Consider the following 15,393-nt stretch of genomic DNA (forward strand, 5'->3'; position numbering starts at 1 on the left):
ATGGCTCTGGCATCCTATAGTCACAATCTCTCCAAGAAGCCACCAGCTCCTTCCCCCAGCTGCTGTTCTAGATGGCTTTTATGTTCTCAGCCTCCCATGCAGTTCAGCAAGTCCTGTTAATTTTATTGCCAAGATCTGTGCAGTACTGTGCAGGTTACATGGATTAAAAAAAAAGATGTGTCCAGAACCCATCTGCCCTCTCAATTTCCACTCACCTCTTTGTCCAGGCCACCCTTCAACGGTCTCCTAACTGGTCCCCCTGCTATTCCTCAAAGTCATTCTCCCCATGGCAGCAAGCATGATTTCCTTAACACATAATTTGGATCACATCACACTGTTATTTAAACCCTTTTCTGATGAGGGTCATGTCTTATTTATTTTCATCTCTGGATGTTTTGGAATCGAACACAAATGTTCATCTTTACTGAAATATAAAATACGGAGCTGACTCCCACTTGTAGTTTCTTTACTCCTAGTGTGTCTGGTGTAGAAAGGGAGATCATAAGCTTCCAGGCTCTCCCCCAGCACATTGGGGCCAGTGGCCATGCCCCCCACCTCCCTTCAGTTGCTACTCACATTTGGTGTGCCTGTCACACAGGGCAGATGCCCGCATGTCACACAGCCGGATTGTCCCTTTGCTGCTGCTGTACACGAAGGTGTTGCAATGATGGGGGTGGAACTCGGCTGCTGTGATCACCTCCGTGAGCTCCTCCATGTTGGCTGGCTTAATGTCCACAATATCTGGCACAGACGAGTCAAGGAAGGAACCAGGAGAAGGAGGCAGGAACTTGGGGAAGGGGAGAATTAGCAATGGCACCATCTTATATTAGTAAAATATGTCAACATTTGCTATGCACATGGTAGATCCTCATCATAAACTTGTCCCAGGCAGATGAGGCTCAGGAACTTTAAGAAAATAGCCCAGGGTTACCCAGTAGTCAGAGGCAGCATTAGAACTCAGGTCTCTTGACTCCTCATTTGTGTTTTATCCTCTATAAACATGTAAAAGACATCCACTCATGACCAAAGTTAACTGCTTGTGCAATCAGGCTAAAATGTACCAAGTTGCAAAGATTTTGCTTCTCATTTTATAATAATGATTAAGGTACTGGTCCTATTATAACCAAATAATTCATTTTATCTGATTCCTTAATGGATTATTGGGCTGATAAGTGATATCTATAATAATAGAGTGCATATCTTCTTTCATGAAATCCCTAAGCCCTTCTTTATAATATGTTGATGATAATAATAATAGCTGCCACCAATAATGGAGCACTAGCTATAGGCCATTCACTGTACAAAGCATATCATGTACTTTATCTCATTTAATCCTTACAAGAACTCTATATAATTAGCGTTTTCCTTATCCTCATTTTTTCAGGGGTGGAAACGGATGCTCCATGTGCATAAAGAAACTTGCTTCAAGTCACATGGCTAAGTGACAACACTAGGATTTCATCCCAGGTGCAAAGTCTGTGCTCTTTCATAATTATGCAAAATTTCTCTCATGTATGATATATAAGACTTCTAGTCTCTGTAAGTTGTGATCTGCTTTTCAGCTTGTGAGGGAGTTTTTAAGTATCAGAAACAAGCCATCCAGTTGGAAAGTTTTAGGGTCCCGTGGAAAATATCCTTAGTTTTATCATCTGGGTTTTTTTTTCTCAGTATTTCCCTTTCTGATCAAGAATTATACCTCTATTTTTTAAAGACCATATCCTTGTATATTGGAATGAAACATTTAGTCTTTTATTTATGAAGGTGACTCAATGAAAATAAACCCCTTCACTGGGATGTCTGGCATGAGTGAAGGAGTGGGTTTGTACAGATCTCTTCACACCTCCACCCAGAGCTTGGGGGATCAGGACACAGAGGGGCCGAGGTACTGTCTGAGGACCCAGCAACATCCTGCAAAGAACAAGCCTTGTGATGTGGATGCTGTTACACAGTAAAGCTGACCAACAGGACTCCCACTTTTCCTAGATTTTCCTACTCGTGAGCCACCTTTGTGATTTTTGCCCTATCTGTGCATCATCAGATAGTACTTTTTACTTAACATTTTTCTTTCAGATCAACTTTAAATTGATTCACTTTTTTCTTTACTTAGCTTTATCTAAACAGTAACCCAATGTTCATAAAATCATGGGTTTAATAAGGTAGCTACATTTTAAGTAATATGCATAAAAATTGACATGTGATAACTGCAAATGCGTGTGCCAGGAGTTTATGCACCACATTTTGGACAACAATGTATTGAATCAACAAGCAATAACTTGATATAACTGCCCCATTAGACTGAGATGGATGAAAGTCTTGTATGCTTTTCATTAAGCTAGTAGCATAGTCCCCTCCTTAGAGTTTAGATGCGGTACAAGCAAATGCACTGATATTTTTAGTCCCGCTAGCACTAACAAAGTAATCATCTATGATCAAACATCACTATGCTCCTGCTACAACATTCCAACATGCAATTTGTTGCAACAATGGCTTTGTATTTGGTTGTGCCTCTTTCCCCTTCATTATCTCTTATAAACCCTATTGGGTTCTTTCTAAAATTGGCATGAGACTGAGCTAACAGTACATGTTACTACAATTTCTCCTACCAAACCCAGATGCAAATATTACTTGGGTCTCCGGGGCATGTGAGTCTCCTGGATTCACAAAATACTACCCTTCAACTCAACTTCTGCCAGAGTTATAAATATGATTGCAGTTAGCATCACATGCTGTGGAGCAAGAGCCTGTGCCCCTCAGGAGGAGGCTCTAGGCTGCAGCTCCGGTGCTCTCTCAGCCACTGACCCATGCCCTGGGCTTTATGGCCATGACGTGGCGTTGGGTAAACGGAGGTTAGTTTTCAGCTGCTGTTAGATTTCCTCATCCTCCAGAGCAAGCCTTGATATCCCACTGTGCCTGTGAACATGTTTCTCTTTTCTCCAAATAGGGAAAGAAAATCTGGTGTCAGCTTTCTCAACCTCTACCAGTATAGCTCTGAAAACAAGCTGAACTGGAAGGGATCTTCGCTGTGTGGGAGGGGGAGGTGCTACAGCTACAGTTATTTTTTCCCACCTAAAAATAAAGCCCCAAAGTAAGAATGTGCAAAAACAAAGTGCCTAAACATGTCTATGAAACCAGGCACATCCTCCACCATCAAGGATGCCAGTGGGGCTGTGCCCACGAGATCTGCCCAGAGCTGCCATCTCTGGATCTTTCCTTCCTTCACTGGACCTTCCAAGCCTACCCACCACCCAGCCCTCATCCCCAAGCCATTGGCTTCCTATCCCCAGCAGGTCTCAGTCTTCCTTTTTGAGTAGAGGGCTTGTTTAGTTTGACTCAAAGGGGTTCCAGGGATAAACCATGATTATCCCTCTTTTTAATCACTGGGATGATGAAGTTAAGAGGAAGATATGGCCAGTTGCTAATGCTGATCAGGGGCCAGGCCTGCCCTGTGCTAACACTTTCCATGTGTTGTCCCCCTTGCCCCTCATCTCAGCCTTATGAGGGCAGGATTATTAACAGGTCCATTTTACAGCCGAGGGAACTCAGATAAATTACTCAAGGTTATGTGACACAGTGGGCAGAGCTGGGATTTGAACCCAAGCTTGTCTGACTCCAGAGCCCGGGTTCTTTCTCACCATGCCACTCTGCCTCCCTTGAGGAATGGCCTCACAAAGCTGGCCAAAATGTGACAATTTTGGTTCCTTTGAAAAGACCCCCAGCTAATCTGAGAGGGCAGCCCCATCTCTTCTGGCTTTAGGCTTGTGCTCTCTTAATTTACCTACCACTTTGGTGACTGCATTTTCCAGAATCAGAATTTTTATGTGCTCTAAGATTTTTTTTTTTTTTTTTTTTTTTTTTGAAGCAGAATTTGGGACACAAGCCTGATAAGGGATTATTTGGATTTTTACCTGCTGGAGGATTTGGTGAGTTCTAGAAACATTTGAGAGAAGTCTAGTTGCTAAAAATTAAGTGACTTATGGGGATGATGGGAGAGGATATTCAACATCTGTATCCTCTAGAAACCCAGGCATTTTCCCCTGCACAACTCTAAAGGGCGATCCATGTTTTCAGCATATGTAATTTTGCCCTTCATGTTGGGAGGGAAGGAGAAAGAAGATGAGCAATTCGTGGCTCCACGTATAATCTTGAAAATGGAATGATGCATTTTGACAGTCACTTTTATTTTTTTTAATCCTTTAGAGCTCTCTATCCAAATTATTTCCCTGTTGTCCCAAATAACTAGATGGCAAAAGCAAAACAGAGCATTGAATTCATGGCTAATATACAACCCCGACAGCCAACAGATTGCCATTAAATTAACCCTGGGGCTTGACAGATCTGTTCTTCTTGACCTGACTGCTTACGGCATTTCTTATTAATGCTGAGCCCAGGCAAATTACATCTGCTAACAAAAGGGGTTAATCTGGCTCTCTGCTGGGACTCTGGAGGCAGCTCTGAGGACAGGAGGGGGCATAGCCAGCTTGGCAGCTGAGCTCCATGCTTGGAAGGCAGAAGAGGGGAAGGTGAGGGCACCGCTGTGCCAGGCAGTGGCCTAAGGCATCATTTAAAATAATAATTGAAGACACCAGGAGGTCACTCCTTAAGGGATCCACTTCAAACAAATGGGAAGCCAGAGCCACAAATGGTTCATCAGTGTGGGATGAGGGAATGGAGAGGGTCATGGCAGGATGGTAAGAGGTAGCATGGGGGCCATTCAAACATCATTTCCTAATCCCAAGTTTAGAAAAAGCTTTTTATGAAAACAAAAGTCCAGCATGATATTAGAAAAAGATTGACAACTTAAATAAATATACAGAACAAGGAAGTGATTAGATGAATTTTTATATATCTCATTAAATTGTTTTTGCAGTGAAATTTCCAAGTCTGTAAAAACCATAGTGCACAAAATTCTAACAACAGTTTGATGATGTCATTTAAAACTTATACTCTGAAAATGATGAGCTAAATGGGAAGACACTAAAACATTAGTGATAGTTCTATCAGGGTGGGTTTACGAATGGTTTTTCTTTTGATTTCAATGATCAGCACAATTTCCACATTTTCTTTTAATAAAGTTGTATTTCAGGCTGGAAAAAATCTTAGGGCCACGCATGGTGGCTCGCACCTGCAATCCCAACAAGTTGGGAGTCCAAGATGCGTGGATCATTTGAGCCTGGGAATTTGAGACCAGCCTGGGCAACGTGGTGAAACCCTATCTCTACCAAACATACAAAAATTAGCCAGGTGTGGTGGCATGCACCTGTAGTTCCAGCTACTGGGGAGGCTGAGGCAGGAGGATTGATTGAGCCTGGGAGGTTGAGGCTGCAGTGAGTGGTAATTGTGCCACTGCACTCCAGCCTGGGTAACACAGCCAGACCCTGTATTGAAAAACAAAACAAAAACTTAGGATACTTTCCATACTTATGATGTGTACTATTTTGGGTAAGGAAAGTTAGGTACAAAGTATATACAGTCTGACCAAGACCACGTAAAAGATATTACACACACACACGAGAGAGAGAGAGAGAGAGAGAGGGAGACAGACAAGGGCCCATTCACTCATTTCTTTCTTTGTGTATTCTATAAGTGTTTCCAAAGAATCTATACCCTGCCAGTACTCTTCTGGGTGCAGGAGATACAGTAGTGACCAAAGCAGGCCCCAAGCCCCCCTGATCCATGGAGCCTATATTCTAGTAGGGAACAGTCAATAAACAAGGTAAATGAGTATTATACACAGTATATTAGGCAGTGATAACTACTAAGCAGTAAAAGCAGGAAAGGGAGAGAGAAATTATGTCTCTATATGTCCTAGATTGAATAGAAGGAAGGTTCTTGGCATTGTATGTTCCCACTCATAAGTGGAAGCTAAGAGGATGCAAAGGCATAAGAATGACACAATGGACTTTGGGGACTCAGGGGGAAAGGGTGGGAAGGAGGTGAGGGATAAAAGACTACAAATTGGGTTCAGTGTATACTGCTTAGGAGATGGGTGCACCAAATTCTCACAAATCACCACTAAAGAACTTACTCATGTAACCAAATACCACCTGTTCCTTAAAACCTGTGGAAATAAAAAATTGTTTTAAAAAGAAAAAGGCATATGGTATAATCCCAACTATATACAAAATAAAATAGTCTGTGAATATGCCTGATATATAAATGGATAGAAAAAAGTGTGAGTCCATATCCTAAACTAGGCGAGCTTCCATAAGGACCATGCAGCAAGTATTTTCAGCCTTTTGGGCCTTTGCCACCGCTATTCAACTTTGCAGTTGCAGCAGGAAAGCAGCCATAGATAATATGTAACTGAAAGGGTGTGGCTGTGTTCCAACAAAACTTTACTTACAAAAACACTTTGGGATAGATCTGGTCTGTGGGCAGTTTGCCAACCTGTTCTAACCTTTTAGCAGAGTAAGAGGTGAATTGTTTATTGCTAAAGTAATTTACCAAAAAATAACTTGTATTCATGTATTATTTGTATTAAAAATAATATCAATAAAAGAATATCGTAATGCAAAAAAAAGTGGATTAGGAACCTGAACTTCTTCCCTTAGGAAAGTTTCAAAAAAAAAAAAAAAAAAAAAAAAAAAAAGAAGAAGAAAGATTCTTGGGTAAATCAGGAGTTTTAAATTGTTTTTGGCTTTGGCTTTTAAAATTTCTTTTATTTCCCCCTGAACCCACATTGTTGAATTAGCTAGCATTAAGTTAAAACTGTGATGCGAATCCAATGTATAGACAGCAAAATTGGTAGTAAGATTTTTGGTCATTTTATTTTCCCCAAATCTCTACAATGAATACATATTAAACAAAGAAAACAATAAGCATTAAAAAATAGCAGTTTCCCTGGCTTAAAATCATCTGTGAGAGAGCTGCGAGACCAGGAACCTCATCTCGATGGGTAAAGTTTGAGATAATATTGTGAAAAATACAGTGATTGTAACAAAATGGGGACCAGAGATTGGGATTCAGTTTTGATTCTATCTCCATTTTGCTAAGAGAATTTGGGAAAGTCATTTTATCTCTCTGGGTTTCCATTTCTTTGCCTATAAATGGGTGTAACCCTATCAGCCTCTAAGAATTTTGATTATTAAACAAGATAATGGAAAAGATAATTTAAGTGGTTTTACACTGGAGTGAATATTCCTTCTTCTGAAGGAAGCACATATTTCTCCAAGGATAGGGTTTATATGCATTGCCTTTGTGAGGTGACTTTCATATGCCTCTGTCCCTTTGCTGCTGATTTTGCTAATACTGACATGCGTATTTCCCCAATTCCTGTCTAAGCCAATGGAGGATAAGAGAGCCAAGTAGGACGCTTTTCTGCAGGGCTGAGTATTATAAACATTGGCCAAGCTGAAGAGTGGAATCTATGTTTACCAGGGTAAAGTACCCACATTCAAAAGCAGCTGAGGCTTTTCATATCCCACTTAAAGTCTGCCAGTACTGAAGGTAGAAAATAGTAATATCTTTGTGTGAACACAGCGTATTTGTTTGATGAGTGTGATTTCCTTTTAGGGACATGAGTTGCTTTGAGATCTTTTTCCCTTTCCATGGTCTAAATTTAATCTTTGGATATTAAGCAATGATTATGAAACATAAAGATCTTATTAGCTGAAAGGACATGTTGCTTGATGATGAGACACTGGAAATCTCCAAAGAGGACTCCAAGGGATATTCCTCTCTTAAGAGCTTAAAAAAAAGTCAATGTGTAAATATTCATGGAGTGTTTGCCAATTCCTAGGCTCAATATGAGGAGACTGACAAAGAGACACATGGTGTCATATTAAATATGTATTGGGCAGGGTGAAAGCCACTGAAGCAGCAACAGGGGAGAAACTTGTACTAGACCCCACAGTTCCCCTGGAAGCCTGCCTGGCAGAATCCCACTGAATTAAAAGGAAGCTGCTGTCCATGGTAGTAATGAGTGCTAGAACCTGGAAGCCAAGAGTTGAGGCTACCTGGTCCCTTAATTAGGGAATCGACTCTAACAGGGCTTCAGCTTGGTTGACAAATAAAATGAAGCCACTGTACAGGGTTGTTAGGACCAAGGTCAAAGTTGAAGTATCCCTAGAGTCCAGCTGGCTTCTCCCAGATAAGTCCTCTATCTCATATTCAGAGACTGGACTTCTGAAAGGTGAGGCTTCTGCTACCCTTCCCAGCCTTGCTTACTCCATGCTCCACTTCACTCTCTGGGCTTCAAAAATAGTGGCCTTCTTAGAATTCCTCCAACATGTCATACTCTCTCCTGCCACAGGACCTCTGTACACACTGAACACATGTCTCCACACCTCTTTGCCAAGTTAGTTCATAGTCTTCCTCTTTCAGATCTTAACTAATTCTTCAGCAAAGCCTTCCCTGGTCTATAGCAGGATTTTTAAAAATGCATTCATAGAACCATATTCCCTGTCTTCACAGAAATTATCTCAGTTTGTAATTATATACTCAGTGTATTTGATGAACATTACTCTGAAAGCGGCAAATTTGTTTTTTCCCATTTTCATGCCTGGCACAAACTAGGTGCTCAATTTATCATCGTTGAGGGCTAGTCTTTATTTTTACTCGATATGGGCCTATTTAATAGATCCCATGTTGGACAAGGTAAGAACTCAGGTCAGTTCATTCTTAGTCCTGCAAAAAGAGTTCAAAGGATTCTAGGTATACCATAGTTTTCATAAAGAAGCAACATCTTTTAATATAAATTTTCATTTATTGCTATTGTCTCTTGCCCTAGAAAACTACTAATCTATTAATGAGTTGTTATAGTCCTGATGTAGTTAGCCTATTAAGACGAAAGTTTGACTGCTTATGTGGGAAACTGTTACACAAGACAAGGACAGACTGGCTATGGATGGAAGGGAGAGAATTCATGACCAGTTATCATGAGGTTTAGAAATGCCTTGCTCTGATCTGGTGCTAAACACAAGGCCCTAGACCTCAGAGTTCCTGAAAACATTTAGTAACTAGGGGGCAGCATCTTGCAAAGGACACCCAACTGCAGAACCAAAGGAAGAGTCTAGAATTGAAAAGACAATCCAGATAATAAAATTAGCAGAATAAAAGCTACCATTCTAATGTTCAACTTTTCTAGTTTCCTTGTTCTCTCAATAATTATCATGATTGTGCTAGTCCTGTTTACTGAGCATTTGCTTAGCAAGGCACTACCCTAAATGTGTGCGTGCGTATGTGTGTGTGTGTGTGTTTAATTTTCATAATCCTCTCGTGATAGAGCTGCTTTCTACAGATGAACAAAATGAGAAATGGAGGCTTGGATAGATTAAGAACATGTTAAAGCTTATACAGCCAGAAAAGTGGTAGGGCTGGGTGAGACCTCTATCACTTGTTGGACTCTGAAGCCTGAGTTCTCAACCGTAATGCCAAAGTCACACCAAATGCCAGTCACAGGAAGTCATGACTGTTTTCTAACCATATCTCCAGATCCCTTGTCTCACTATTTACTTAATGCTTTACATACACTTACTTTGTAATCTAAATAGATTTTGAATATCTATGAAATTGTAGGATATGATGGTTATGTTTTTTGACGTTCACTATTGCTTAGAAGCACATTGCTTACCATCCCCAGTAGTAGCCACACTATGCTTTGGGAATCCCAAATTATTCTATCCTGAACCATGTTTCTTCTGTCTCCTTTGTGAATAAGGGGCATTGTGGAAATGAGACCTGCCTGGTGGCTGGTATTTTTCTGAGACTGTTTTGAAAGATGGCCGCTTCCTACCCCAGAGGTGGCTATACTTCAGTGATGAGAGGCTCAGTGCTTAGGGCGGTCTGGTTGAAAAGAACTATATAGATATCACTTATCATCGTTCTCATGATGACAATGATTATTTTACATATGGCTGCTTTAAGGGTGAATGGCACGGTCTCATTTGTATGCCAGCATCTGGCAGTCTGTCACACATCTGCAGAATATAACCTAAACTGCGCTGTTAATATTTCCCCTTTGCATTCTCCCCAAGGCATCTGTCTCCCAAAATGCCTAAAGAAACTCCCCTCCCCCTTGAAGGCCTAGAGGCAAAATTCAGAAAACATGTCACCTAGACTGGGGAAGCAGAAGCTCAGAGTGACAGCCAGCTGAGCCTGAGCAGATTTCTGGCTCTTGGAATAGATGGAGAGAGAAAAAGGGAACCACCACCCACACTCATTCTATTAGCAGCTGCACTGCCAGGCAAAATCTGTAGGCAGGCCCAGACAGCATGTGGAGTCTGTTCCGTGATCAACAAAATATGCCAGGCATGGTCCTGATGGTCAGTTCTCATTGTCTCCAAATATATCTCATAATTGCCACTATCTGATTAAAGCTGCCTTCCCTGAAAGCCCTTGGAGACGGTTGAGTGCTCTCCATGGTGGAGACTAGCTAGCTGTGTACCAAAACCGGGTCTTTTTATCCTGGGCACACAGCCAGACTACATTTCCTAGGCTGCCTTGCAGTTAAGAGTTAGCCATGTGGCTGAATTCTAGCCAATGGAATGCATACTTTTTTAGGGCATGGCTCAGAGGAATCTCCCACTTGTGATCTTCCATGACCTTCCCCTTTTACAGTCCTGCTATAAACATGGTAACATTGGGGAGCTGCAAATGAAAGAGGCCCGAGTTTCTGAATTACTGATTGGAGGAGGCTGCCTGCTGATGGGGATCATCAATATTAGACTTCATACGAAAATAATCTTTTATTTGTTTGAGCCATTATGGGGTCTATTCTATAAACGAACCTTCAGAGCTTTACTATAACTCTTAAAATTAAATTTCCAGGTTAGATTTTATGAACTGTCTACTGGATAGCGCTACTTTGATGACCTACTATTATTTCGAACTTGACAGGTTCAATAATTTTCTGTATGTCAGAGTGTTCCACGTACTGGAATACAGCAATAGTTCATACAAGGCCCTTGCTCTTGTAGAATTTACATCCTAACATGAGGAAACCAAAAATACATAAGTAAAAAAATTTCAAATCATGGTAAGTACCATGACAATAACAGGGATAGTGTTATTGGTAGCTACTTAAGAGTTAATGGGAAAGAGTACCTCTGGGGCCTGAAGTGACATGTAACTAGCCATGTGAATGCTGTGGGCAAAATATTCTAGAAAGAGGGAACAGCAAATGCAAAGAATGGAAGAATAAGGTTTACTTAGGAACAGAAAAGTGATTAGTTGGCTGAAATGAAGTGAATTAGGGAAGCGTGACAAGACTGGATAACAAAGATGGAGACAGGTTCCAGATCACGCAGAATCTTATAGGCCAAGTTAAATAACTTGGATTTTATTCTGAGTTTAGTGGGAAGCTACTGGAATGTTTTTTATCAGGGAAGGAATGATATTTGAATTACATGTTGAAGGGTTCGTACTGTATAAAAGAGCAAGAATGAATGGAGACCAGATGAGATTATTGCAGTCACAGTGGTGAGAGACAACAGTGGCTTATGCTAGTGTAGGTAGGTAGATAGGGATATATGCGTTGATTTGACATATATTTTAGAGGCAGGGCTCATGGATAGATGGAGTTAGAGTAGGGGAGGCTGGTAAGTGGAAGAGAAAACTCCATATTGATACCTAGGTCAATTGTTCAGTTACCTGAGTTGTTCAGTGCCATTCCTCATAAATCTCATGCCTTAGGTTTGTGAGAAATGGAGCACATGATAGGTATTCAATAAATGACCAATTTTTACTATGAAATAGAGGGTCAACATAGTGGGGGTGAAAATACTGGCCCAGCTATTCAGCATTTTTTTTTTTTACCTTTCTATATATTTTTTATTTTTATTATTTTTTTGAGATGGAGTCTGGCTCTGTCACCCAGACTGGAGTGCAGTGGTACGATCTCGGCTTACTGCAACCTCTGCCTCCTCAGTTCAAGCGATTCTCCTGCCTCAGCCTCCCAAGTAACTGGGACTACAGGCGCCCGCCACCATGCCTGGCTAATTTCTTTTTTGTATTTTTAGTAAAGTTGGGGCCTTGCCACGTTGGCTAAGCTGGTCTTAAACCTCTGACCTGAAGCAATCCACCTACCTAGGCCTCCCAAAGTGCTGGGATTATAAGCATAAGCCACTGCGGCCAGCCGACTTTTCTATATTTTAATTAAACAGGAGATAATGATACTTACATTATGGGGTTGTTTTATCAAATATGTCCTTGGGGGTAGAAATTATTAATATAAAGAGGCATGATGGGGGCTTGAGAATTGTTAGCAAAGTTCTGTTTCTGGATGTCAATGCTGGTTATAGGTGAGTTCAACCTCTGAAATTTCATCAAACTGTATAATTATAATATGTATACTGTACATTTTATCAAACTGTACAATTATAATATGTATACTATACATTTCATCAAACTGTACAATTATAATATGTACTTTTCTATATGCATAATATACTTCAATGAGGTAAAAAATGTAATACTATAAAGTTCCCATTGCAAGTGCTTGGAACTCAATAAATGTCAGTCACTATTATTTTCACTATTATGAGACAATGGAAACCAGTATGTCTGTGGTCCATGCTGTCCATACAGATTTATGAATCCTTTAACAGAGAAAGAACCTGAACTCTAGGGTCTTATCCTATTGTTGATAAAATCACCTCTAATTTTAATTCGTGACATATAAATGCCTCTGTATGAAGGAATTGATTCAGAGTCCCAATCCAGAGCTAGCCCTGGCCTCCCACTTGTAATAACAATATTTCCCTAACTTTATTGTTATGATTAAAGAGTCTCATAGGTGCCAGTGTATTTTAAAAGGGGCAAGTTCTCCGCAAATGCTAGGTGTTGCATTTCTATTCCATATTTTCTCCCAGCCCACTCGCACCTGAATACTCTTAATTCAGGCCAGTTGATTCTTGATCACAAAGAAAGGATACTAAAACTTTGATTGGTTATTTCAAAGTTCCATAGGTTAATCCTCAGGTCATCAGCGGACATGTAGGTTTCATAGTCGCTGTTGACAGATATGGAGTTGATGTGATATGTGTGTGCGTTGGCAAATACTCTTCGTGGGGTGGCCTCCACCATCAGGTCCATGGGTCTCAGGACAGGCACCTGGGATGCAAGAGAAACAAATCACTTCAGAACCAAAGATCTTCCATAGGAAAAGAGTGTGCATGCTAATATCATTTATTATCACACACAAAATAATAGCCACATTGAAGAAACTCCAAGTTAGAGAAAGAAGAGGCTAATAACGAATCACACACTGTTCTTGTTCCATTCTGTTCCTCCTCTTTCAAAAGATATCACCATCACTTAGCCCTGGTGGGAAATTTCATTCTTTATAAATTCTAAACATTTTTCTAAGCCCCTCCAGGTAGCCTCATCTCAGGGGAACTTGGCTTCCATTGTGGAGTCATTACCTTCCAGAGACATTGTTCTATTTTTTTTTTAAACATGAAATCTATTTAAAAAAGGGAGTTGTGGGAAAATTTTAGAAATGTCTAGTTCAACTTTAATCTAAATTTATCTTTTATGTCTTTTCATCTCATGGCTTTGGAAGCTATACCCCTTCCTGGCTTTGTCCTTAATCCTTAAGGGCATTTTGGGAAACTTTAGCATCACCCAAGACTCTAATCGTCCAAATTCAGCCACTAATATATAGGGAACCCAATGACATCTGACTGAGAAAATCTTGGTTTATATTTGTCTTAGAGTGCGAACCAGGTAGTGTCCACTTTTACATGCAAAACTGTCCCAGTTTGAACATTAATGATATGGTCACCTTACTGATACATAAATACTTCTCAGTAAGTATTTGTTGAATGAGTAAGAATACATGATTAAATGATTTCTTTCTGGTGGATCAGAGAATCGGCAACTAAATAGTTTCCCACACATGACCGTCTTTCTGGCAAATGTGAACAAAGACCTATCACTCTTCCTCCTTTGAGTTCTGGGTGAACTGGCTACAAAGAAAGAGAATAAGAACACTAATGCCTGAGAGGGAACAAACTAAAAAAACACCCAAGACAGACAAAACCCCACAACACAGGTGTGGTCACTTAATAGAAACAAGATAATAAAATAACCAAAGCTATTTTCTTTTCAAGCAAATCATTTCTTGCAACTGAGCCCCGACTGATTTGATACCAGGTGGTAGATTAAGACTTCAACTTCTGGATTGGCTTCAACCCAGGTGGCGAGGAGAAGAAAAACAAAAGTTAAATTTTCTGAAGTGCAGTCACCTCACCAACATAACCTTTTAGAAAAAAGAATTCTCCCAGTTCAGACTTGAGGGACTTTAACTCACCTATGCGGGAGTTTTTAAATCAAATCAATGATTCAGAGGAAACACAGAATTCTAGACAGATGTGGTACTTGATAACCCAGAAACCACAGGTGACTTGAGGTGTGGCTGTAGAAGGGTCAGGGGTCCTCTGAATACTAGGAAAGGAAAGGGAAGGAAAGTCTTTGTGGTCCCCCATCCCAATTACGGATAAGGGCCTATAGATTAAGTGTGTGTGGCAGCGAATGGGAGACCAGGGTTCTGATCAGATTCACCACTAACCAATAGGCTATGAGGTCTGGGCAACTAACCTGCTCCTCCTAAGCTTGAGCTCAATTGCACTGTCTGCAAAACAGTGACCATGCTCCCTGTGCTCTCACTATCGCAAAGGGTGGTTTGGGGTTTTGTTGAGATGATCTGACCTCCAATGCATCCTCCTACCCACTCTTTCAACAATATTTACTGAGTGCCACACAAAGTCCTGGAGTGTTCAACTGGTAAGCAGAACCAGACACAGGTCCTGGCATCATATACCTGTTCTTGTCAGGGGAGATAGACATAATTAAAAGGGCTAGGTGCGCAAAAGAGAGGATATACTGCCAAGAGGGATTTAACCTGCTCAGGGAGAACTGAAGAGGCTTCCCTGAGAATGTATGTATTGGAATGTGAAAGATGGGTAGGGATTTAACCAGGCCAGGAGGGGAGTGAAAGGGAGAATGTGTCTGAGGGATGTGCAAAGGTCCCGTGATAGAGGTGAACAAGGCAAGAGTGAAAAACTGATAGGTCACTGTAGTTGAGACAGAAGTAGTGAAGGGAGCTATTGTGGGAGATGAGGTGACAGGCTAGGTAGGAGGCAACACCCCCCCCCAAAAAGTTTTGCCATTATTCCAAGTGAATAGGGAAAAAAATGAAAGGATTTGCAATGATTGTGATATAATCAAATCCAGGTTTTGACTAGATCAGTCCAGATGTACAATGGAAAACAAGTTAGAGGAAGAATGAGGTAGAATTTTTAAAGTGAAGATCATACACTTTTGGACATCAACTAAGGGCATGCCTGAGTTAAGGCATTGCGATGGATAAAAAAGTGACTTTGCCCTGAGAAACACTACACCAAAATATTTATTGGGCATTTTCTCTGTGTCAAGTATTCTTCATACATAATC

General features: G+C 40.7%; 1 protein-coding gene across 10 annotated transcripts in view; it reads right to left on the reverse strand.

The window, feature by feature from the left end:
* The window catches only part of PPP2R2B (protein phosphatase 2 regulatory subunit Bbeta), a 500,779-nt gene that overhangs the window by 56,933 nt on the left and 428,453 nt on the right, over nt 1–15,393 (reverse strand). For all 10 annotated transcript variants that reach the window (NM_001271900.2, NM_181676.3, NM_181674.3 and 7 more), the window contains 2 exons: nt 12,873–13,050; nt 577–741 (listed from right to left, as the gene is read on the reverse strand). In NM_001271900.2, the coding sequence (NP_001258829.1) occupies nt 577–741; nt 12,873–13,050 (343 nt within the window). The remainder of the gene's footprint in view (nt 1–576; nt 742–12,872; nt 13,051–15,393) is intronic.

The sequence above is a fragment of the Homo sapiens genome, chromosome 5 (genome assembly GCF_000001405.40).
Source record: "Homo sapiens chromosome 5, GRCh38.p14 Primary Assembly".
Classification (NCBI taxonomy): domain Eukaryota; kingdom Metazoa; phylum Chordata; class Mammalia; order Primates; family Hominidae; genus Homo; species Homo sapiens.